This window comes from Homo sapiens, chromosome 4, assembly GCF_000001405.40.
Source record: "Homo sapiens chromosome 4, GRCh38.p14 Primary Assembly".
Lineage (NCBI taxonomy): Eukaryota > Metazoa > Chordata > Mammalia > Primates > Hominidae > Homo > Homo sapiens.
The window spans coordinates 8,030,928-8,056,005 of record NC_000004.12 but is presented as its reverse complement, the minus strand read 5'-3'; the positions used below and the strand labels follow the sequence as shown (position 1 = coordinate 8,056,005).

General features: G+C 55.2%; 1 protein-coding gene across 51 annotated transcripts in view, besides 3 other annotated features; it reads left to right on the top strand.

Annotated features, from left to right (window-relative positions):
* ABLIM2 (actin binding LIM protein family member 2) overlaps positions 1–25,078 on the top strand; it is a 193,487-nt gene that overhangs the window by 102,808 nt on the left and 65,601 nt on the right. For 27 of the 51 annotated variants that reach the window (NM_001130087.2, XM_047416299.1, XM_006713927.4 and 24 more), the window contains 4 exons: positions 1,760–1,818; positions 10,765–10,842; positions 19,711–19,857; positions 23,326–23,358. In NM_001130087.2, the coding sequence (NP_001123559.1) occupies positions 1,760–1,818; positions 10,765–10,842; positions 19,711–19,857; positions 23,326–23,358 (317 nt within the window). The remainder of the gene's footprint in view (positions 1–1,759; positions 1,819–10,764; positions 10,843–19,710; positions 19,858–23,325; positions 23,359–25,078) is intronic. The other 24 variants (NM_001130086.2, NM_032432.5, NM_001130085.2 and 21 more) reach the window with 1 other exon arrangement.
* Positions 6,161–6,772: an enhancer, noted in NCBI's record as "OCT4-NANOG-H3K27ac-H3K4me1 hESC enhancer chr4:8050961-8051572 (GRCh37/hg19 assembly coordinates)". NCBI's record gives its function as "activates a minimal SCP1, AML or CMV promoter by ChIP-STARR-seq in naive and primed H9 embryonic stem cells {active_cell/tissue: H9 hESC(naive and primed)}" and the evidence as "EXISTENCE:reporter gene assay evidence [ECO:0000049][PMID:30033119]".
* Positions 15,269–16,224: an enhancer, noted in NCBI's record as "H3K4me1 hESC enhancer chr4:8041509-8042464 (GRCh37/hg19 assembly coordinates)". NCBI's record gives its function as "activates a minimal SCP1, AML or CMV promoter by ChIP-STARR-seq in primed H9 embryonic stem cells {active_cell/tissue: H9 hESC(primed)}" and the evidence as "EXISTENCE:reporter gene assay evidence [ECO:0000049][PMID:30033119]".
* Positions 18,061–18,561: an enhancer, noted in NCBI's record as "H3K4me1 hESC enhancer chr4:8039172-8039672 (GRCh37/hg19 assembly coordinates)". NCBI's record gives its function as "activates a minimal SCP1, AML or CMV promoter by ChIP-STARR-seq in primed H9 embryonic stem cells {active_cell/tissue: H9 hESC(primed)}" and the evidence as "EXISTENCE:reporter gene assay evidence [ECO:0000049][PMID:30033119]".

Sequence of the window (25,078 nt, the reverse complement as noted above, 5' to 3'; positions counted from 1 at the left end):
GAGTAGCTGGGACTACAGGTAGCCACCACAATGCCTGGCTAATTTTTCTATTTTTGATAGAGATGGGGTTTCACCATGTTGGCCAGGCTGGTCTTAAACTCCTGACCTCGAGTGATCCACCCACCTTGGCCTCCTGAAGTGCTGGGATTACAGGCGTGAGCCACCGCGCCCAGCCCTATTACTTTTATGGTCATAATTTATTTTTAATTTATAAACAAGAAATGTTTTCTATGCACTCACACACACATGTAGTCCAATCACCATCTCTCAGAGCTTCGAGTTGCTGCTATGTCCCTAGAAACGAGCCGCCATGAAATCCACATGACCCAGAGGGCTTTGCAGGCAGGAGATGGGATAAGTTCCCTCATTGCACACACACTTTTCAGCCCCTACCATGTGCTAGCCTGTGTGGCTTTTTTGTGGGATACACAAGTCAGCCACAGCCCTCACCTTCGTGGGAGCAAAGGGTGAGAGATGGAGACACAGCCATGCACCTAGCAGAGGGTGTGTGAGTGCAGTGCCAGCCCATCACAGGGAGTGGCGGGTCAGGCTGGATGTGTGAGTGCAGTGCCAGCCCCTCGCAGGGAGTGGCGGGTCAGGCTGGGTGTGTGAGTGCAGTGCCAGCCCATCGCAGGGGGCAGCAGGTCAGGCTGGGTGTGTGAGCACAGTGCCAGCCCATCACAGGGAGCGGCAGGTCAGGCTGAGGTTCAGGGAGGCCCCAGGAGGAGCAAGTGCCCCAGATCCTGAAGGATGGGAAGGTGGGCAGAGAGAGTTGACATTCACTGAGTCCCCCATGCACAAGAAGGATCGCACTAATGCAACTAACATTTGTATGCAGCAACTCACAAAGCACTTTTCTGATACTTTATTACCTCTGCTTGATTTTATTAAATTCACCCAGTGACCTGACAAGGTAGAATTCTTATTAGCTCTATTCTTAGGTGGAAAAAAAAAAAACAAAAACAAAGACTTGGGGTAGTTTGAGGTTGAATTAGTAGAGACCAGAGTGCCAGGGATGCTGGGGGCACTTGGTGCCGGGTGGCCTTGTTATGTTGATGGTAGTGGCTGTTGACATGGGTGACTGGGCAGAACTGACAGCTAGAGAAACTGAGACACAAGAAGCCACAGAGACTGAGTAAATTAGTAACAGGGTGGGGCTGGTGTTTGAGCCTTGTGCCCAGCTCCCACCGAACACACCTGTTCTTCACCCCATACCCTAAGGAGCAGGCCCACTTCCCAGCTGAGGTTCTCTCTTCCTACCTCTCAGCTTAGAGCCCTGCCCTGCAAGTCCTCCTCCCCAAGGCTGGCTCCCACCCAGGTTGCAGCACCAGCTGTCTCTGCAGGTGGGCCCAGCCATTGCCCTCAACATGCAGGCAGCCAATCCTACATCCTAGGCAGGGACTTGAAACCCCTTCAAATACCCCCTCCTCAGAGAAGAATCTTCCAGCTGCCCCCCAGGTTCCTCAAGACCCTATGCCTCCTCCTGTGGGAGCAGTTAGTGCACAGCAGCCATTTCCCTGTTTGTTTGCTGCCTCCGTCCCACAACTGGGCTGTGAGCCCCTGAGGGGCGGGGACTGTGATCTGGGTACCCCCTGCCCGGCACTAACTCCAGCACAGAGAGGATGCTCAGGGCCGCTTGGAGGGTGGAGTCCGAGTGCACGTCTGTGCATGGACCAGCTCCCTCCTCTGCGTTTCCACACAGGCCCCTGCAACATGGGAAATAACTCTAATCATTTCCCTCTTGGGAATTTGTCAACAGGTTCCTCCATCTGGCATCCGGCGTGTCGACAAGCAGCCAGAACTGAAGACAGAAACAAGGTTGGTGGCATTCACTGGTGTCTCTGATGTACCCTTCACTGCTCCTGCACCATCTTTGTACAGTTAAGAGGACACTGACCAGATTCTACAGGCTCATTGTCCAGTCCCACGGGCTGCAGGATGGGGGCAGCCAGGCTTAGGAGGTGGGGAGGGTAAACAAGTAGACTGGTGAGCAATAATACAGATGGAACAAGGGCATCTTTGTTTTCTGTTGATATCACAGAATACCACAGGCAAGGTAATCTACGTAAAAAGAAGTTAATTCAGCTCATGGTTCTGGAGGTGGGGAAATCCAGGAGCAGGGTGCGGCATCTGATGAGAGCCGTCCCGTGGCAGGACGGGGAGAGAAGGCGGGAACTCATGAACAAAGAGGAAAAAGGGGCCAAACTCCCGAGATAACTAACCCACTCCCACAGTAATGGCATCAGTCCATTCAGGAAGGCAGAGCCCTCATGAACAGTCACTTCCCAAACGCCCCACCTCCAACACTGTCACAAAGGACACCAAGTTTCCAACACACAAATTTTGGAGTGTACATAGCAAAGAGGCATCTAAGAGCCTTTGTGGACTGGCCTGCTGAGCTTTTCTCTCATTTGGTGAACTCCAATGGCTGTGAAAATTTGAGAACAACTACAGTGTTAGGGGGCCCAAACAGTCCCCAAGACCCCCCTCATGTCTGTGAACCCCGAAAATCCCAGACAGGTCTCAGTTAATTTAGAAAGTTTATTTTGCCAAGATTAAGGATGTGCACCCGTGACACAGCCTCAGGAGGTCCTGGTGATATGTGTGCAAGGTGGTCAGAGCACAGTTTGGTTTTATACATTTTAGGCAGACATGAGACATCAATCAACATATGCAAGATGAACATTGGTTCAGTCTGGAAAGGCGGGAAAACTTGAAGCAAAGGCAGGATGACTCAAAGCGTGGAGGGGGCTTCCAGGTCATGGGTAGATAGGAGACAAGTGATTGCATTCTTTTGAGTTCTGAAAGGAGGCAATCAGATCTGCACTTATCTCAGTGAGCAGAGGGGTGACTTTGAATAGAATGGGAGGCAGGTTGGCCCCAAGCAGTTTCCAGCTGGACTTTTCCCTTTAGCTTAGTGATTTGGGGCAGTCCCCATCTGGCTGGTGGTCTGTGACCCAAGGGTGGTCTATGGCCCCATCTGGCTGGTGGTCCAGGACCTGAGGACACCCCTAAGGCCCACAGGCCAGGCCATGTCCTCATCCTGCTGCGGATCTCAGCAACCCCTGGCCTCCCACTTACTCTCGAATGTGGGGTATCCCGTAGACCTCATCCATTCCACCAAGCAGGCTACCTTGGGGGTCCTGAGTGACTCTGATGTCCTGTAGCGGCAAGTCTGGGCTCTTGTTTGAGCAGCTGTGCCTGCAGGGAACAAAGTGGGGCATTCAGAGTGTCTGATGGGGTTCAGGACAGCATTCCGATGCAGGCCCGTCTGAGCGAAGCTGCAGGATGCCCAGCATCTGGACCCTTCCTGGAAGGCCAGCTCCCCTGCTGGCCAGCAGAGCAGGCAGGGCTGGAGGCCTGCACGGGGGCAGGCAGGGGCCCTGGCTTCCCACCTGTGTCCCTGATGCTCTCCTAGCAGCTCTGCTTTTGGCAGGGGAGGGGGTCCCAGGGGAAGTCTGCCCTTTTCTGCCTTCCACAGTGGCAGAAGAGTCACGCGATGAAATCCCGCTGTGAGCTTGGCCAGGATCGCAGCAGCTAGCTGGCACATTGTGAATTTTGTTGTCCTCTCAAATAGCTGCTGCAGTCCATGATTCATTCTACAAGCTACCCTGAGGCTGCGCTGGGTCTCAGGGATGAGCAAGGCAGCAGCCCTTCCCTCAGCAAGCCACAGTGTGTGACTCCGAAGTGACCACAGGGCCCGCACCATTTGTGAGATCCTTCCATGCCCACCAAAGGCCTGTGGAAGGGACCTGAGTGAGGGAGCCTCTCACGCCAAGGCCACCAGACCACACTGTGGCTTGCATGTGTGCATGGGAACACCACCCTGTCTCCTGATGATGTGGCTCCGATGAGTGGAGAAACACCAGGGTCTTCATCTCTAGTAGAATTAGAAAAAACAACGCGGACACACGTGGTGTAGTCTTAAAGAGCGGAGAGTTTAATAGGCAAGAAAGAAGAAAGGCAGAAGGAAGAAGCTCCCTGGTAGAGAGAAAGAGGGAGGGGGGGCTCCAAAGCCAAGACAGGGAACCCCAAGTGGGGTGGATACCAGTCAGGTATATACACGGGCTCGAGGTGGCAGTGTCTGATTTGCATAGGGCTTAGGCGATTGGTTTGACCAGGCGTGTCATTCACATAGCCCATGGAAAAGCTGGCCCTCCCACCCTAGTCTTTTAATATGCAAATGCAGGGCGCCCTGATGTTCCACATACATGTGGATATGTGGGGGTGGCCATGGTGCCAGGGACATGTGGGGCAAGGGCAAGAAGGCCACAGGAATCGCCATGTTTGGGTGGACCCAGTTTCTAGTGGCCTGCATTTGCATATCAAACGGTGCCTGCCTGGTTCTAAGAGCTGCTTTGAAAACGAAAACTGCCCAAGGACCCCTTTTCCTTTCTATCTGCCTAAAATAATTTCTTTTCTTTTCTTTTTTTTTTTTTTTTTGAGATGGAATCTCGCTCTGTCTTCAGGCTGGAGTGCAGTGGCCAGTGGCGTGATCTCAGCTCACTGCAACCTCTGCTTCCCAGATTCAAGCTATTCTTCAGCCGCAGCCTCCCAAGTAGCTGGGACTACAGCCACGCACCACCACGTCCAGCTAATTTTTGTATTTTCTTTTTTTTTTAGTAGAGACAGGGTTTCATTATGTTGACCAGGATGGTCTCAATCTCTTGACCTCGGGATCCGCCCGCCTCGGCCTCCCAAAGTGCTGGGATTACAGGCGTGAGCTACCACGCCCGGCCCCTAAAATAATTTCTTAATAACTCCTACCACACTGAAACCGACCAGGGCTAGAAAAGGGAGCTCCGCGGCCACAGCCAGGTCCCCGCAAGGGCGGGGTGGGGGGTGGCTGGCGACAGCTCCCGGGTTCTGACCCCTACTGTGGAGCGGCCATGAGACCTGCAGGAGGCCTGACTGGCCAGGCGGCAGCAACAGCTTCACTGTCCCCACTGATGCCAGCCCGTGCTGACCTCCGGGTCACTGGCCTAGCGGGCAGGGGTCACTTAACCACCGGATGCTGCCAGCAGAGGAGGAAGGAGTCCTTGTGCTCGGGGGCCTGTGCAGGCGTCCTTGTTTCCTGGGCTCTGTTTGAAGTTGCTTTTGAAGCAGTTATTTTTAACAGAGGGCTAGTTGGCCTCTGGCCAACACAGGGAGGAGGCGGCGCAGGCTGAGAGCGGCTGGCCTCTTAGCGCCGAGTCCAGGGACTGGCGTGGCTCCCGGCCTAATGGTTCTCATACACATCTCGGTCCCCTTGGAGCTAACTGTCCGGAGGGCCTGGCGCTTCCTGGCCTGGGGGTGGGAGGGAGAGCCCTCCTGCTCTGTTTTGTTCCGTCAGGTGCAAGCCAGTTAAGGAGAGAATATGCAGAAGGCAGGCAGACCTGGCCGGCTCCCGGCAGCATCAACCTCACTTGTTTTTGGAAACCCGACACCCAGGTGGAAGTAGCTTCTCAGTGCTACCTGCTAGTCAAGAGGAGAAATGACTCCCGGTCCTAGCCCCTCTGTGCCAGCTCCTGGGGGACTCCAGGACCCTCACAGGAGCCAGTCCATCCCTGCCTCAGGGTTGCTCTTCAGCAAGAGGCCAACCCCTGAGCACCTGGCCCCAGGAAAGGTTGCAGTAGGGAGGAGGGAGCACTCACTATTCTCTGCAGCCTGGAAGGTGGCCCTGATCGCATGGCTGCCCCTTCTGCACCATGGGGATGGGAGCTCTCCCAGGACAAGGACCTGTCCACGGAAAGAGTGAAACTGTAAAATACTGGAAGAGATTCATTCTGAGTCAAATATGAGTGACCATGACACAGCCCTCATGTGACCCTGAGAACAGGCGCCCAAGGTGTTGGGGTGCAGCTTGATTTTATACATGTCAGGAAGACACGAGACATCAATCAGAATACATGTAAGATTGACATTGGTTTGGTCGAGAAAGTGGGACAACTCAAAGCAGGAGCTTCCAAGTTATAGGTAGATTTTAAAACATTCTGACTGGCCGTGCGCAGTGGCTCACACCTGTAATCCTAGCACCTTGGGAGGCTGAGGTTGGTGGATCATTTGAGGTCAGGAGTTCGAGACCAGCCTGGCCAACATGGTGAAACCCGCTCTCTACCAAAAATACAAAACTTAGCCAGGCATGGTGGCACTTGCCTGTAATCTCATCTATTCAGGTGGCTGAGGCACGAGAATCGCTTGAGACGGGAGGCAGAGGTTGCAGTGAGTCAAGATCATGGCACTGCACTCCAGCCTGGGCAACAGAGTGAGACCCTGTCTCAAAAAAAATAAAATAAAATGTTCTGATTGGCAGTTGGTTGAAAGAGTTAATATCTGTAGAAAGGAATGTCTCTGTGGAGTGTAAGGTTTTGTCATGCAAATGAAGCTGCCAGGTAGCAGGCTTCAGAGAGAATAGACTGTAAATGTTTCTCATCAGACTTAAGGTCTGCGTTGATGTTAAATGCTGGTGAGCTTTTCCTGAATTCCAAAGGGAGGCGGGCATAGTGAGGCATGTCTGACCCCCGCTTCCCATCATGGCCTGAACCAGTCTTTCAGGTTAACTTTGGCATGCCCTGGCCAAGTGGATAGAGTCCATTGAGATGGCTGGGGAGCCCCAGCATTTAATTTTTGGTTTACAGACAGCATGTCAGACGTCCCTGGCATCTGGCCAGGGTGCTCAGCGGAGGTGAGAAGGATGTGGTCCTAGCTGCCCTGTCCCCAGTGCAAATGCCCCCGCCTCAGGCGTTTGATCATATGGTCACTCAACACACAAGCCACGAAGCACCTACTGTGTGTGCTCTGGGATTGAGCACTGTGAACATAGAGGTGAATAAGACCTGAGGGGTCCCTGCCCACAAGGAGCCCCCTGTCTGGTGGGGGAGACAAACGTGGATGGGCAGCCTCCGATGTGCAGGATGCTCAGAGGCGCCGTGACCGAGAGGGGCCCGGGCCCAGCTGGCAGTGGTCACAGGCGGCTTCCTGGAGCTGCGGCTGATGGTCCAGTCTGGTTCTGGCTCTGGGTGGTGTGTCTGAGGAACCAGTGATCTTCAGGGGACTGAATGTGGGTTTCAGGACCTTGGGGTGAGAAGGGGGTGGCCCTGTGCCTGTGGGTAGCCCAAGGTAAGCCCCGAGAACGGTGAAGGTGGCCACAGGGACAGCTCAGCTCAGAGGGGTCCCTGCTCTGGCCAGGGGCTGGGTGACTTCAGTGGAGGGAGCCTGGACTGGCCGGGCTGGTCCTGTAGGTTGTGGGTTTCCAAGGTGGGTCTCCTTTGGAAAAGTTAAGACTGAGGCCTCAGTGGTGGCTACTGTGGGTGGGAGTCCAGGAGGAAGCTGGAGACTGTTGGGGCCATTGAGGAACGAGGAAACAGGCTTGTGGAGACCAAACGCGGGGCCGTTCCGGCTGAATGGGAGCGAGACGGTCCCGGCAATTCTCCACGGTGGCCAAGGGCGGTAGAGCGAGGCTTGGCATTGGAGTTCTGCTCTGCCTCCTCCCAGCTGTGTGACCTGGTGCAAGTCACTAGCCCTCTCTGAGCCTCAGCCCCTCAGCTTTCACATGGAGATGAGAGGGGTCAGACCATGTGACCGTAATGGCAGGCCTCCCCAGTGACTGTTGAAGGACAGCTGCCTCCCTGGGGCCAGGCAAAGCCGGTGGGGATTGGAGCCAGGTGAGCTCCCAGCCCTTCCATTTCTGTGGGTCTGAACAAGGCGCTTGTACTGGGGCCTGGGAGAACATATGGATATTGAGTTCCATTGCCAAGCACCTTTGTGCGATTGGAGTTGGGTAGGGAGAAAGTCAGAAAAAGCTCCAGCCTCCTCCCACTGGGGAAAATCAGGCCTACTCAGCTCCCTTCTGACTCATCCCCACCCATCGCAGAGCTGGGGACTGAGCCCAGAGAAGGGAATGAGGACAATGACCTGGCTGCCCCGCCTAGACCCCCTCAAACATGCAGAGAGCAAACCTGGCCCCTGGCCCCGTGCTGAAACCAGCCAACGCTCCCTCCCTCCCATATGTACCAAGGCACAGTTGGAGGCTGTGAAACATTCCTCGGGAGCCTGGGAGACTTTCCTGTGCTGCTGTTGGTGTGCTCGGCTTCAGAGAATCTTTCTTCTAAAACACCCAATGTTCATCTGCTTTGCAGAGGAGAGGGTTCTCTGTCAAGGTCATCTCCTGAGCCCACCTTGAGCTGAAATAATAGTGGGGAGAATTTTTCAGTGCTAAGCACCTCACGTGCCTCATCCCTGATCTAATCCTCAGAAACGGTAAGCCCGTTCAGGGAGCTGTTGCCGGGGGATGGACGAGGATGCTGAGACTCAAAGGGTGTTTCAATGTATTCATATAAAATGTATGCAGCCATCATTTTGGCCAGTAAAACATTCGACCTGGCCCAGGAACAGTGGGAACAGCAGATCCTATGTCACATACCTCAGAACTAGCTGTCTACTTTGCAAACAGCAGGTGGTATTGGGCCATCGTGGGCATGACTGAGGACCCAGCCCCTGCCAGCCTGCAGAAATCCGTGGTCCCAGGAGGCAGGCAGACCCCAGAGTTGATGCCCACCTGGTGTGTTGCACCAGGGCTGAGGGAAGCCCAAGGAAGCTGGGCAGGCCTCATAGAGGAGGAAGAGGAGGAGGAGGAGAAAGAGGAGGAGGAGGAGGAGGAGGAGGAGGAAGAGGCGGTGGCAGCGGCAGTTGCCAAGCTTAGGATATAAGGAGACACGGGGCATGGAGAGGACCTGGGCCGGTGGAGCGGAGGCGAGTGCAGAGGTGGCGGACAGGTGGTGGAGTGTCATGCCCACTCCCTCCTCTCCTTCCTTTCTAGATACAGAATCAAGTTTGCACTCAGGGTTGCCCAGGCGCCACCCACATGCCGCACAGGGTTGTCCTCCTGCTGCTGCACGTGGCCCCACATCCGGCGCTGATGTTGCCCATCCTCGCTGGTGTGCGCTGAGTGTAGGAGGTGCTGACTGTCACCCACGCCAGCCGCTGCACGATGCCCAGCCTGAGTCAGGCAGCTGGGGCTTCCCCGATAAAGGCACCCGGCCTGGGTGGCCTGCACAGCAGAAACCCACCTTCCCACAGCTCTGGAGCCCAAAAGGCCAAGATCACGGGGTTAGCTGGGGTGGTTTCTCCCTCGTTGGCTCGTAGATGCTGCCTTCTCCCTGTGCCTCCACATGGACTCCCTGTGTGTGTCTGTGTCCTGATCCCTGCTCGTAGAAACCCCAGGCATAACAGATTAGGGCCCATCCTAGTGACCTTTTAAAAACCCTGTCTCCAAATACAGCCACATTCTGAGGTCCTGGGGGTTAGGATTCAACCTACGAATGTGGACACAGATCAGCCCATCCACTGTGGTGCCTCCTGGGCTGCAGGCACCGCTGCATGGATGGGCCCCTGAAATGGGCAGGACAGAATTGTTGGGGGTGGCAAGAAAAGGGTCTACTCAGAAAATGAGAGGAGGGAGCTGCAGTGGGGGCTGTGGTCGGGGTGGGAAACCATCGAAGCAGCAGAGGACGTGGGGGCCGTGGGGAGAGTGAGGGCTGAGCTCTTGGCTGCTGAGGGCTGGGGAGGCCTCTGTGGATATGGGCTTCTTTTGGACAGGGTGAATAGGAGGCGTGGGGAAGGCCAGGCAGGTGGCCCAGGAGTGAGGGCTGAACCAGGAGAGGGGTGTGCAGCTCCAGTGAGAGCTGAACCAGGAGAGGCCCCTGCCCTGCAGGTGGGGAGGGACAGCAGGTGCAGCCAGAGGTGTGGGGACCACAGAAGGAGTGTGTCCGCAGGGCTGGAGGGGGCTGAGGTGGGGGGAGAGGCAGGACAGTCACAAAAACCATCAGCCCAGGGGACACAGCGGGTGTGGTCCGGAAGGGAGGAGTGGCCCCAGACAGCAGCGAGCATGTAAGGAGGACACAGGTCCCAGGCGTGACAGCAGCAAAAAGGCCAGGACAAGCCCACAGGTGCAGTTGGGAGAGTGGCTGCCAGGGGGCTCCGAAGGGCCATTTCTAAGTTGTGTGTCAGGTGGGAGCAGGTGCTCTTTGAGCTGAGAAAGGCTTGGGGGCCCATGGAGGGTCAGAGGGCATGGAGGACAGAGCCGGGGGCCAAGCTAGAGAGGGTCTTCAGGGTGACCAAGATGGTCCCGTGTTCCCAGGAACCTGGGCCAGTGGACTAAGCTGCAGCGAGTCCCCATAATCCCGGTGGAAAATGACGCCTCTGAGCATAACCGGAGCTTGCAGAATGGCTTGGCCTGTGCATCACTCTGGTCTCATGTGGCCCACCATGTCTGCCTGATGCTAGCTTTTCAGTCATTCATCCAAGCCTGTGTGTTTATTCCAAGAATTCCTTCAGCCCCAACTTTATTTATTTATTTATTTATTCATTCATTCATTCATTGAGATGGAGTCTCTCTCTGTCACCCAGGCTGGAGTGCAGTGGCGCGATCTTGGCTCACTGAGCACCGCCTCCCAGGTTTAAGCGATTCTCCTGCCTCAGCCTCCTGAGTAGCTGGGATTACAGGTGCCCGCCACCACACCCGGCTAATTTTTGTATTTTTAGTAGAGACAGGGTTTCACCATGTTGGTCAGACTGATCTCGAACTCCTGACCTCGTGATCCGCCCACCTCAGCCTCCCAAAGTGCTGGGATTATAGGCGTGAGCCGCCGTGCCCGGCCCAGCCCCAACTTTAAAGAAACACCGCAGTGCGCTGGCGTGGCTGCTGGAGTGGAACTCCTGACAGTCGCCTCTGAAGGCCCCGAATGTTGGTACCTGCCTTCAATCTCTTCCTCTCTCCTTTCTCAGGAAACCAGAACTTCCTCAGAGAGCATCATTTCTGTCCCTGCTTCCAGCACCTCAGGGTCTCCGAGCCGTGTGATTTATGTAAGTCAGGGCCTTTTTATGGGGACGGCGGTGGGAGGGTGGAGAGAGAAGGGGGGCCCGGTGGCCGTGGCTAAGCCCACCCCTAAGAGAGTTTTCCGAGAACTATCATCTGGGGCCTGAGGTACGGCCATTGCTCTTGTCCCTGCTTCGGGGTGGAGGTTGGTACAGGCTTTATGAGTCTGAAACACAGACATGTTTGTTTGACCCGGCAATTCCCCTGGGAACCTGTCCCCAATTATCTGGTGACAAGAGCCACACAGTGGTGTGTACACAGCTGTTGTTTATAGTGGTGCAGACACGTCACATCAACAGCCGACAGTTGGGGCTTGCCAGACACCCAGGCGGGACCCTGCAGAGTTTGCAAATAACGGCACGGATCTGTGTACATCAACACGCACGCTCTCCCAGCGTGTTCCCTAAAAGAAGCAAGTTAAGGGTGATGTAAATTATGTGATCCCGTTTTCGTTCGTTCGAGAGAGAGAGAGAGAGAGAGACTCTGTGTGTGTGTGTGTGTGTGTGTGTCTGTGCGCCTCACACGCTTCCATAATCACATACAAATATAAAAATGATTGAAAACATTTTAACAAGTTGTTACCAGAAATTTCCTCTGGGTGGTGGGATTCGAGATGGGAGATTATTCTATTTAATATTTAATACATTTAATATTGTATATTTAAATTTATATATGTATACATACATATACATATGTATATGTAAATTTAATATTTAATATTGTATTTAATGTTTGCTAATATTGCTTGTGTAAATACCAAAATTCCTTATCTAGGCGAGGACCCCCAGGCGCCAGGTGAGGGATGGCTTATGCGGTGGTGGCCAGGGGTCACCCGGGACTGCCATGTAGGCTGCCCCTGCACCAGAACCCAGCACTGGAATGGCTGGTGACTGGGACAAGCCCCTTCTCCCCTCCCCGTCCCCGCCAGGCCAGGACCTGGGTTCTTCATGCCTCAGCGGAGGCTGGATCCACTGGGTTTCTAGGCTCCAGAACTTTAAGACAGTTTATTGGATCTGCTGTCTGCTGTGCTTCTTTTCGACCCTCCTCTCTCATAGTGGTTGGACACAGGGTCCTTCCTGACCTTAATCCTGACAGTGCCACTGAGGGGTGCACGAGTCCTCAGTTACCATGACGCACTGCTGGCCTGGAGAGTGAGTGGCACTGTGGCGCTTGGGATGTGCACTCTGAAGCTTAGGCGGGCGCATGAAGGCACCAGGTTGGCTGCATGCCCTGGGCGAGGTGCCGCCCGCCTGGAGCCTCTGGGAGCCCCTCAGTAATCCACGGAGACCCCCAGGCACCTTCGGTCCAGGGCTCACTGAGGCGCTGCCTGGGTGGCAGTGAGCACAGCGCCTGCCCAGAAGAAGGCTGTGGGAAACGCTTGCTGCCGTTACTGTTACCATCATCTGTGTCAGCCTCCTGGGGGCTTGAACAACAGAAATAAATTGTCTCAAAGTTCCAGAGCCTGGAAACCCAGGATCAAGGAGTCAGCAGGGTTGGCTCCCCATCCCTGGCCCGCAGGCGGCCGTCCTCTCCTTGCATCATCACGGGTCATCTGTGTGCATCCGGGTCCTGATTTCTTCCCATAAGGACACCAGGCAGATTGGATTGGATCCACCCTAACGGTCTTGTTTTAACTTGATGACCTCTCTTAAGGCCCTGCATCCAAATGCAGTCACATTCTGAGGTCCTGAGGGTTAGGACTTTACCAACACAGGAATTCGGGGAGACACAGTTCAGTCCATAATACCATCATCATCCTCATGAATAATGATTATGACAATTATCATGTGAATGAGATCATGTTTGTGTAGGCGCACAAAGGTATGGTCTGTTTCCTCACCCATTGAAAGGGTCACAGCTGACACTCCTATAACGAGAGACAAGTTCACAAGAGAAAAGCATGACAGACGTATTTAATCAAAGTTTTAGGTGACACAGGAGCCTTCAGGGACGCAGGTCCAAAGACCCAGGGAGGACTGTCCTTTTTAGTTTTGGTTTTGAGACAAGGTCTGGCTCTGTCGCCCAGGCTGGAGTGCAGTGGTGAGATCATGGCTCATGGCAGCCTCAACCTCCCCGGGCTCAGGCGATCCTCCCACCTCAGCATCCCGAGTAGCTGGGACTACAGGCATGCACCATCACACCTGGCTAATTTTTGTATTTTTTGTTGAGATGAGGTCTTTTTATGTTGCCCGGGCTGGTCTTGAACTCCTGGCCTCAAGCAATCCACCTGCCTCAGCCTCCCAAAGTGCTGGGATTATAGGTTTGAGTCATCACGTCTGGCCAACACTGTTCTTTTTTTTTTTTTTTTTTTGAGTTGGAGTTTCGCTCTTGTTGCCCAGGCTGGAGTGCCACGGCTCCATCTCAGCTCACTGCAACCTCCACCCCCTGGGTTCAAGCGATTCTCCTGCCTCAGCCTCTCAAGTAGCTAGGATTATAGACATGTGCCACCACACCCAGCTAAGTTTGTATTTTTAGTAGAGACGGGGTTTCTCCATGTTGGTCAGGCTGGTCTCAAACTCCCGACCTCAGGTGATCCACTCGCCTGGCCTGCCACAGTGCTGGGGTTACAGGCGTGAGCCGCTGTGCCTGGCCTATTTTTATGCTTAGATTGGATGATAACTGGGTGGCCATGTAGAAATATGATTGGACAAAATGTGTGTGATCTGATGGGAACAGACTGAGTGGGGAAACAGCAGGGCCGTCTGCTCAGATGCTCCTTGGCCTCTCTGGGGAGTCCTTCTTCCTCCAGGTATAGGGCACAGGGGGTCTTAGGACCTACTCTCAGGCAAGCTAGGTCAGAGAATGGCTCCATGGCCAGGTTGTGCACAGAATGAGGGAAAGGTTAGACTCATGTTTCTAGGCTTCATGGCTGGCTTTGGGGAGGAACTTCTAGTTTCTATGACCCGCCTTGGGGAAGAGGAACTCTGGTTGGTATGGCTCACTTCAGCGGGGGTAGGAAGGAAGAGGGTGAGAGACAGGAGGGCAGGAGGCGGTCAGAGAGACCCTGCTTCCGAGGCCTTCCACTCTCCCTTAGGTCAAAGTCCTCAGCATGCTGTGGCTCCGTACTTTGGGGTATTGTTTTCTGAGCGCCAACATTTGCAAAGCACTTGGCATCCGGCTTGGTGCCTGCTAAGCGCTCATTCGTGGTAGCTGTTGCTGTTGCTGTTGTTGCTGCTGTTGTTGTTGGAACCTGCACGGCACATAGTAACTGCTCATTAAATATGAGCTCTTTTTTTTTTCTTTTTTTGAAGTGGAGTCTCACTGTGTCGCCCAGGCTGGAGTGCAGTGGTGCAATCTCAGCTCACTGCAAGCTGCGCCTCCCAGGTTCACGCCATTCTCCTGCCTCGGCCTCCCGAGTAGCTGGGACAACAGGCACCCGCCACCATGCATGGCTAATTTTTTTTGTATTTTTAATAGAGACGGGGTTTCACCGTGTTAGCCAGGATGGTCTCAATCTCCTAACCTGGTGATCCACCCACCTTGGCCTCCCAAAGTGCTGGGATTACAGGCGTGAGCCACCGTGCCCAGCCTCTTTTTTTTTTTTTTTTTAAACAAACTGGCATTTGCAAGGAGCGTGGGATGGTAGTGACTGTGTGTGCATGCAGTGAGCAGTGACAGCGGCCTCTGTTGTCATGGTCCCACTTTCAAGGCCATGCAACACTTTCAAGGCAGAGCTGGGCTTGGAGCCCACAGGTCTCCGTGACTCCGAGGCTTAGGTTTTTTCCAGGAGACCCTGCTGCTCAGTGCTGTAAACAGCCATGGTGGCTCCTTTCTTCTTGCATCAGGCAGTTACAAGCATGGGTGAGCACAAGCTCCCTGTGGAGCCCTGGGGACCCAGCCACGATCAGGCCAGATGGCATCCCTGTTCTGGGTAGGGGAAGGAGTTCCCGTCCACAGGAGAGATCGGGGCAGACCCAAGTGGGGGTTTCAGGTGGGACGCCTGCCAAGGGATGTTGGTGGGCAAAGAATTTCTGCACCAGTGGGGCATGCACTTGACCCAGGTCAACTGCAGCGTGGTGCACTGTGTCTCAGCTTTGATGGACTTCCTGCTCGGCCAAGTAGGTGTGCTCACAATTCCAGTTTTAAACAGAAGGCCTCGAACAAATTAATCCAGTCTCCCGGCTCTTAGTTTGACACAAGGGAGAATGTGTGGGGTGCCATGCTGCTTCCTCTTGGCCTCAGAGCTGCCCAGGGACCTGCCATCAGTGTGCCCACGTCGCTGATGCCACTCTGAGATATGAGCTGACTTTGCAGCCTCTAAGTAATGGAGCCACAATGCAAGGACACGTGCTCCCAATTCTGACACGTGCTCCAAGCACCATGGTCAGCACCCAGCCTGGCTGCATCCCAGCCCTCCCAGGGGCCAGACAGGCCAGAAGCCCGAACAGCCCTGCTCTCTCTCCCACCTTGGGGTTGGTGCCACATGAGTGGGCACTGCACACGGTCCGGCTCTTCACCAAGATGATGTGATGTGGTGGGCAAGCCCTCCTTATCCCAGGGTTCTGCCCTGCTTTTCTTTTCTTTTCTTTTTTTTTTTTTTGAAATGGAGTCTCGCTCTGTCGCCCAGGCTGGAGTGCAGTGGCACGATCTTGGCTCACTGCAACTTCTGCCTCCCGGGTTCAAGCAACTCTCCTGCCTCAGCCTCCCAAGTCTGTGAGATTACAGGCGCCCACCACCATGCCTGGCTAACTTTTGTATTTTTAGTAGAGACAGGGTCTCACCATGTTGGCCAGGCTGGTCTCAAACTCCTGGCCTCAGGTGACCCACCTACCTTGGCCTCCCAAAGTGCTGGGGGTACAGGTGTGAGCCACTGCGCCTGGCCACCCTGCTTTTTATCTCACCTCTGCTGGTGTCTGTCATCAACCTACTGTGCGCCTGGCCCCCTGCTCTGTGCTGAGCACCCCCACGGTCTCAGAAAGGGGCCGTTCCATGTCCCCGTCGGGTGCTTTGCAGGTTGCAGCTGCCCACCCCTGCCTGCTGTGGGTGGTTGTCAAATGCAGCATCCCCTTCCTTCACCGTGAGGAAGAGACCGGCTCCCCCTGCCATTCACGTGCACAGGAATGCACCAGAATCCACCAAGTGGCTGCATCTCCTCCACGGACCGTGAGGGCTTGGCGGGCAGGGACTGGGCCTCGTTCATCTTAGTTTCCAGGATAAAATGTGCACACAGTAGACCCTCCATAAACCATGGGGCTTTTGGACATCACCTATTTTACTGCTCTTTTCTTTCTGCCAAAAGCAATCTGCATTTATTAAAAAAAAAAAAAAAAAAAAAACAGTAATCAGCACACCAGAGGAAATTAAAGCATTTACATCCTGCCAGCCACAGTGGCCCTGCCGATGCTTCTGAGATACCCTTCAGGTCTCGCTTCTGTGTGTGTGTAATTTTTATAACATGGGGTCACACTGAACATATTATTTTGTAACCTTTATTTCAACATGGCAATAGTGCAGAGTATAAAAGCAACGTTCTTCCATTCTGTGTTATCATTGACTGGGTTATATGGTAATGATACTGTTGTAAGTGGCCATATTAGTGTGTATTATGCTGGGTGGAGTGTGGGAAGGAAGAAGGCAAAGAGGAAAAACCCTTTACACACACTCCAGAGACCTTCCGCCAATTAGAGAGTGCAGCCCGTTGTCATGGCAACCACCCAAGGACTTGGCATGGGGGAAAGTGGATCTGCAAGGCCACTTAGCAACCTGTCTGAGGGGTCGGGCAGGGGCTGTTGGCATCGTGCAGGCTGCCCTCTCTGACCCCTGCTGTCAGGGCTGGGTGGTTCAGGGAAGCCTGAGGAAGGCTGGGAGCTAACCCAGGGCAAGGCGGCCCCCTATGCTGTGGGGCTGGACAGGTGAATGCTGTGATCATCGCTGCTTGGAGGGGACGGAGGTGGGGAAGGGAGGATGCAAAACACACCCCGCCAGGCATCTGGCTGAGAGTTCACCTGACTTTTGCAAATGCTTGATTGGCTTTTGTTCAATTCACAAGCCTGCTGTCAACCTCACAGCTGGGCAAGGGTCTCAGTGATGAATCCTGGGCCTCTAGGAGCCACAGTCTTGAGGGGATAAGGGACAACTCAACAGATGAAGATCAACACTAACTTGTTGCGGGGGTGTGGGGAAGGAAGCCTCGAGGAGGGGCCTTCGCTGAGCCTGGAAGGACCAGAGGCAGAGCTTAGGGAAGAGGTGTGGGAGGGGCACATCCCAGAGAGGGAACAGCAGGTGCAAAGCCCCCAGGCTGTGAGTGACTGGGAGCTGAAAGGACTTGAGTGCTAAGTGGCATGGATAAGTGGGTAAACAAGCGCCAGAGTTCCAATTTCCCAGAAGGCAGAGGGGAGCTGCTGAAAATCCTGCAGGATCAGATCTCATGATTACAAATGGCTGGCTCGGGATTGGATCTCGGGTCTTTTGAACCCTGCCCCAGGCTCCAAAGGGGCAGCCAGAGGTCTGAGATGTCAGAACTTCTTTCTCTTCATGCATATCACAAATGTCAGGGTTCACCCCAAGACCCAACATCTCAGGAGAACCCTCAAGCCTGGTGATCAGGGAAGACTTCGTGGAGGAGGTGGGCTGGAGGCTAACAGACCCTGAAGAATACAGGAAAGCTGGAGTAGGGGGCTGAACCTGGCACACCTGGGGACATGGGGAAGAGACAGCTTAGGGTGAAGCTGCCAGGAACAGGAAGGCCAAGTTTGGGGGCCATAATGAGGGCTTACATTGTCCAGCTGAAGAGGGGGCTCCCAGAGGGTTTGAGCTGAGACCACTGGGATGCATCTGGGCCTGAGAGGCATTCCCCCCAGCAGTGAAGCCTGGAAAGGGGAGAGCTGTGGTGGGGAGCATGGGCTTTAGAGTCAGACAGCCAGGGTCATGTGCTGCCCTGCACCCTCCTGGCTCTGTGAGTCTGGGCAAGTTACCCAACCTCTCTGGGCTCTGGCTTCTACATTGTGAAAAGGAGCTTCTGTGAGCACCCCTTTGTGGCATCATTGTGTTTTGCGAGCAGATGATGGAGGGCTCAGCCCAGTGCATGTCTCGGGGTAGACAGCTCATCATGTCCAGAGGAGGCTGAGGCAGAATCGAGAAGCAGCAACAGGGATCTCCACCAGAGTCACCTGTGGCTGGAAAATGCCCCCGGCAGCTCCTGGGGAGCCCAGAGCCAGGGAGAAGGGGACAGGCAGGGGCAAGAGCACGTGCACAGTGCACAGTGGGGTACCGCGGAGGAAGGCTGGGCAGAATCAGAGCAGAGGGCAGCACACACCAGCTGGACCTCCCTGAGCAAACACAGGGGTTCTCCCAGCGTCCCGCATTCATTCAGCAAGGGCAGGAGCGCCACTGTGGGCCAGGGTAGGCCAGAGGTAGACAGGACAGAAGGGCCCCCGACCCTGCTGAGGGGTGTCCCAGCTGGCCTGTCAAATGCCAGGTGCTTTGCTGCAGGCAGCATGTGAATGTGTGTGAGTGCGTGTGGGCATGGGGGGTGGTGAATGTGAACTTGCTTGGTAGGGGTGGGGTGATTGTGTGCAAGTATGTGTGGGCAGATGTGCATGCACGTTTGTGGGTGAATCTGGGTGTGCAGGTGTGTGCCAGTGTGTGGGGGTGTGCCGGTTGTGTGTGAGTGAGCCATGGGCCTGGGGAGTGATTGCATGTGTGAGCACGTGTCAGTGTGTGGGTGTGGGCATGTGTGTGCTAGTATGTGGGAGTGGGCCAGGATGTGAGGGGGGTCTATACCTCCACAGTCTCAGACAGGCATGTTCTCTGTGTGGAGGTATACATGCACATGTGTGTAGTGCATGTGTGTGCCTTATGTGTGTGTGTGCCTGCATGTGTGTGCATGTGTGCGCATGCATGTGCGTGTGTGTGTGCATGTGTGCGTATGTGTGTGCACATGTATGTGTAGGTATGTATCATCACCCTTTGTATCCATGCATTCCACATCTGCAGATTCAACCAACCTCAGATTGAAAATATTCTTAAAAAACAATAAAAATAGCAAACAACAATAAAAAATAATACAAATAAAATAATATAAAAATAATACACTATTTTATTTATGTAAGTTAAATAATACAGTATAACATCGATTTACCCAACATTTGCATTGTGTTAGGCATTACAAATCACCAAGAGATGGTTTTAAGCAAATGGGAGGATGTGCACAGGCTACAGGCAAGAACCACATAATTTTACTTAACAACCTGAGCATATGAGGATTTGGGGATTTGAGGAGGGTCCTGGGGCCAATCCCACATGAATAGTAAGGGATGCGTGTGTGTTTGCCTATATGTGTGTTTGTGTGTGCAGTGTGTGTGTTTGCATGTGTGCGTGTCTGTGTTTGTACGTGTGCGTGCATGTACACATGTTTAAGCCATGGACTGAGTCTCACTGCCTGCCAGACCCCATGCCAGGTACATCACAGGCATGGCCTCCTTAACCCCAGAGCCTTCGGGTGTGATCATTTCCCTCATTTTGTACAGAAGGAAACTGAGGCTTAGAGAAGACACTTCCGCAAGGCCTACTGGCTCTTTTGTGGCTGGGCCTCAGGACCCAAGCCTGCCTGCTCTGGAGTTCCCTGTGCTTTTGACCCCGTCCCCATTTCACCTATACCAGGAGCTGGGGGTGAGCTCAGACTCTGCCCAAAGCGCTGTGACCCCAGCACCCTCTTCACGGCTGCTGGAGCAGCCACTGCCCTCTGGCTTTGGGGGCACTGTCCTGTGGGATGCATCTGGCTTTGGGGGCACTGTCCTGTGGGATGCATCTGGCTTTGGGGGCACTGTCCTGTGGGATGCATCCGGCTTTGGGGGTGCTGCCCTCTGGGGTGCATCTGGTGACTGTCCCCTCCCCAATTCTCTTTCCCCTCTCAGGCCAAGCTTGGTGGTGAGATCCTGGACTACAGGGACTTGGCAGCCCTTCCTAAAAGTAAGGCCATCTATGACATCGACCGCCCCGACATGATCTCCTACTCACCCTACATCAGCCACTCTGCAGGGGACAGGCAGAGCTACGGCGAGGTATGGACCCTGCCCACATGGCCCTGGACACCTGTGTCCCCAAGTGCTGCCCTGCAGGACAGGCGTCATCCCTAGCATGTGTCCTATGGGGCCAGAGCCACTTCCATCTTCACCACTCACCCACACGCTCAGCCTCTTCACGCCCATCAGATAGCCATGTGCACATCCTATTTCAGTAATGCCCAAGGCACTGTGGCCCCAAAGCTGCCGTTGCTGAAGGAGTGAGCCTGGAATGCCTCCTTAAATGGAGTAGAAAGTAGGAAGCATGCTGGTTTGTAGGAAAGATGATAGTGACTCAGTGAAAATCTCCTAATTTTCTTAAGTATTAGATTATTTTCATAAAGCATGAGATGCATTTCCTCTGTAGCGGACTCTTGGCCCGTGCCACCCTCGCTGCCATGGCTCTGCCCCATGCTCCTCTGCCCCATGAATTCATGAGCCAATGTAACCGACCTGGTTGAACCACAGATTATTTATTTCCTGGCCTGCCTGTGGACGGCGTTCCTACTCCTCAGAGGTTTCTTATTCAGAGCTGCTCTGTCCATTTCCCGTGGAATGCCTTGTTGGTTTTTGCTTTTCCTCTTGTGGTTCTGAGGTTTCAACATGACCGCAGCTGCCTGAGGTAGGAGGAGGCGTTGCCAGGCTGTTGGCCCGAGTGTGTGTGCTCTTGACATGCGTGCCGCCAGGCATGGGGGGCTCCCCGGGGTGGGGAAGCTCAGTCCTTTCAAACACGTTTCCCTTGGGCCTTCTCATTTTGAGACTTCAACAAGGGCCTCCAGGGAAGCAAGAGCTGAGACTCCAGGGCAGCGCGTTCGATGCGGATGGTGTGGGGCGAGAAAGTCATGGCTGCTGGGTGCACCTGCCAAGCTCAAGGGCTGTGCAGGGAGGGTGAGAAGAGCTCAGGGCCAGCAGGTGCCCTCCTGACTTGCTTCTGCCCCTGTGGATCACAGAATTTGAGGATGTGGGTGACAAGCCCCACTGACAATGAGAGGGACCAGTGGGGGGAGCTGAGGGAAGGCATCACGACCCACACCCACCTACCAACCACCCATCTGCACCCACCTACCTGCCACCCACTCACCTGCACCCACCTACCTACCACCCATCACCCACCTGCACCCACCTACCTACCACCCACCACCCACCCGCACTGACCTACCTACCACCCACCACCCACCCGTACCCACCTACCTACCACCCACCACCCATCCGCACCCACCTACCTACCACCCACCACCCACCCGCACCCACCTACCTACCACCCACCGACCTGAACCCACCTACCACCCACCACCCACCTGCACCCACCTACCTACCACCCACCACCCACCTGCACCCACCTACCTACCACCCACCACCCACCTGCACCCACCACCCACCTACCCACCTGCACCCACCTACCTACTACCCACCCACCTGCACCCACCTACCTACCACCCACTACCCACCTGTACCCACCTACCACCCACCTGCACCCACCCACCTGCACCCACCTACCTACCACCCACCACCCACCTGCACCCACCTACCTACCACCCACCCACCTGCACCCACCTACCACACACCCACCCACCTGCCCCTACCTACCACCCACCACCCACCTGCACCCACCTACCTACCACCCACCCACCTGCACCCACCTACCTACCACCCACCCACCTGCACCCACCTACCACCCACCAGCACCTACCTACCACACACCCTCCCACCTGCACTCACCTGCACCTGTCTACCACCCACCTACCTGCACCTTGCCTGCACCCACTTACCACACACCCCCCTGCACCCATCTGCAACCACCTACCTGCACCCATGTGCATCCACCTACACCCACCTACCTGTACCTACCTACACCCATCTACCTGCACTCACCTGCACCCACCCACTGCACCCACCTGTACCCACCTACCACATGCCCAGGCTGTGTGTTGGCTTTATTGTCCAACATCTGGTCTGCACCTGGACCAGATGCTGGAAGAGAGTCCGTGAGGACTCGCGTCTCGGCCACAGGGCTAAGACCCAAATCCAGTCCCTTCTTCCCCGCAAAGACCACAGGATGTGCTGGCTATTTTCTCAGCACATCCTGGCGCTCTCTCTGGGACGTGCGATTCAAGCCTAGAGGACTGGCCTCACGATCCTCCTCCACCTCCTGGCAGCCTTGGGGCATCGGGCACACCCCTTCCTGGTTTGAGTGCGTGTGTCCCTGTGGGAGGGCTCTGTGGCCATGAAGGGCCACATGCAGAGGTGATGTGTGTTGGGGTGGGCTGGTATCTCTCCCTGTCCTGCTCCAGGGTCTCATGGTATGACCAGGACACAGCTTCCAGGCCCAAGTGGACACGGGCCCTTAGCTGTTGTCACTGAGGTTTCTTTCAGCCTCTCTGGGGCTGCGCCTCTCAAATGGCAGGACATCTGTGAACCATGGATGATCCTGACCCCAGGACCTGTCCCCAGAGGGCAGAGAAGGGGCAGGAAGGGAGGGACTGTGGCTCGGGAGTCACCCCCTCCCTCTGGGGAGACCTGGGTTGGCCTCCCGCTCTGCTAAACAGTGGCACCTGTGTGTGAGCTTCCGCTCTCAGCCATAAAGTGCGACCCCATGGGGCCTGCCTCGGCAGGTGGACAGGGCTGGGCTCCTGGGTCAGGTGTGTCCATACAGAGCTTCCTCTATGCCGATGGCCGGGAGCAGCCTGAGGGTTTCTCCCTTGATTCCATCATTCCACCCATGGCCTTCAGCTTCCCACCTCCCATGGCACAGGGCTTCACAGGGCCCGTGGCAGCCTCCCAGAGGCCGTCGAGTTATTGCGCTGTAATAACCATGGTTCCTGTGAACAGAGTGCCTCCCCGCTCTGCTGTGGGAACGGCGTTCTCTTTCCCAATGCTTGCTCACCTCACAAGGGCTGTGCTCTTTCTGGGCCCCTCCCACCTCCATGCTCCTCACTGAACATATGTGCAGGTGGTGGTGGATGGGGTGCCAGCCTGGGAAGACGGGTCAGCCTGCTGTCTAGGGCCCCAGGACCCCCACGGCAGAGCCGTCTCCAACCCAAAGGCTTCTGGTCACCCTCTGTCTCTGCTGAGCACCTTTTCTCTCTTGTCCAGAGAAAACCGAGGTGATGGGCCCTCAGGATGTTGCTGCCTGTGCCCTGAGCCAGTGTCTTCCTTTTGGGAAAACACATCTTTGTGGGAGAACAGTGGGACGTGGGGGTGGCCAGGTAGAGACAAGCTCTGGGCTCATTGGCACGAAATCAGTTTCCCCGGGGGCCTCTTTCTCTGGGAAGAATTAACCATGTTTCTCCAAAGAGAAGGTTCTGGAACCCTGACTTGTGTCTCTCGGGGTAGAGTTCTTTTCCTGTCTGGAGGATCAGGGCTCTGTGTGGGTGTTTGCGCCTGTGTTGCCTGCCAGTCACGGAACTGCCCTCCTCCCTCTCTGCCTGGCGCCAGCACTAATGGCCACTTTGTGTGTTGTGTCCACAGTCCCCTCAGTTGCTCTCGCCAACGCCGACCGAGGTAACCACCACCCTCTCGCCTGTCCCCGCTTGCCGTGGCGCTGCTGCCTGGGTTATAAACATAACCACCCAGCCGCACTCCCGGGAAGGGCCTCCTCGGTGGCTCTTCACCATGGGGCCCGGGGCCACGGCCCTTGTGACATGGGGCACCCTCCTGGCTGCTGGTTATTTTTATGATCACCCCGCACTTGCATGCCTCCCCGATATGTCTGCCAGCCCTGCGGATGTGGCCGCCTGGGACGCGGGTCTACCCTGAGCAGATCGTGGTCTGGGCCGTGGCTTCCTTTAGGGGAAAATTCAGGATCCTGGCTGAGCCTGGGAGCGCTTCCTGCCTCCTGCCCCTCCACGTGGGTTGTGTGGAAGCACCCAGTCCTCGTGGAGAAACACTGGACGTGTCTCTCTACAAAAGAGCTTTTACTGTTAGTGGTCTAGTTTTTTTTTTTTTTTTCTGTTTCTCAAAATTAATCAGTGACATAGAGAGCTGCCAATCAGACTGCAGTCTGTGCGGCCGCACGGGTGGCCACAGCAGAAAGGTGTCATGGTAGCCAGGAATAGACAGCCTGGGCAGTGACCGTGCCCTGAGCTCTTCCCCTGTGCTTGATGCCATTGTAAACATTTCATAGGCTGGGCGTGGTGGCTCACACCTGTAATCCCAGCACTTTGGGAGGCCGAGGTGGGCGGATCACCAGAGGTCAGGAGTTCGAGACCAGCCTGGCCAAAACATAGTGAAACCCCGTCTCCACTAAAAATACAAAAATTACCCAGGCATGGGTGACACACACCTGTAATCCCAGCTAGTCGGAAGCTGAGGCAGGAGAATCGCTTGAACCCGGAAGACGGAGGTTGCAGTGAGCTGAGGTCACGCCACTGCACTGCAGCCTGGGTGACAGAGCGAGACTCCATCTCAAAAAAAAAAAAAAAATGTATATTTATTCATCCCCCACCACGACACCCAGAGGCAAGTTCTGTGATTTTCCCCAGGTTACCGCAGAGAAACTGAGGCACAGGGAAGTCACATAACCTTTCCAGGGTCACGCACTATGAGGTGCAGGAGGATTTCAGCCCAGCGGTCGGCTCAGAGCCTATGCTCACCCACTGGGATCTCCAGCCTCCTGCTCCAGACAACCTGCCCCATGGGAGCTGTGACGGCCATGGTACCTGGGTGCTGTATCCCTAGAGCAGTGATTCCTATGTACCGGTGACTTTTGATGTCCCAGGCCTGGGGCCGGGCATCTTTTCATCTCCTCATTTACCTGCACAGGGAACCCCTGAGGGAGGGATGTCAGCTTCCCTTCCAGATGAGGTGCAGGGTCTGCCTGACACAGAGCACACTCCTGGGAAGAGCCTGGTCTCCCTGCAGAGGCCCCTGTCTCAGGCTGTACCCCAGAGTGGGGCACAAAATCATGCACACTTGCTCAGTGGGAGGGTGCACAGCCATGCACAGCCTGCAGGCTTCTGGTCCAGAGGTGGTCACAGGACCTCGGCCAACCTTACTGGGACTTGCCTGCTTCCTTCCTTCCCTGCACACAGCCAGGATTCCCAGTCCAGCCCTTAGGAGTGGTCCGAGGCTGAGGCCCTCCCCAGGTCCTGACAGCTTTGGAGAACCGGAATCTTCTGCAGAGCCCCTTCCGTGGCTTCTCCGCTTGGCTCCTTAGCCTGTCCCCATAGACACAGTGCTGGGGGATGGTAGAGGAACAGGGCAAGTGTGGGCCTTGGTGGTG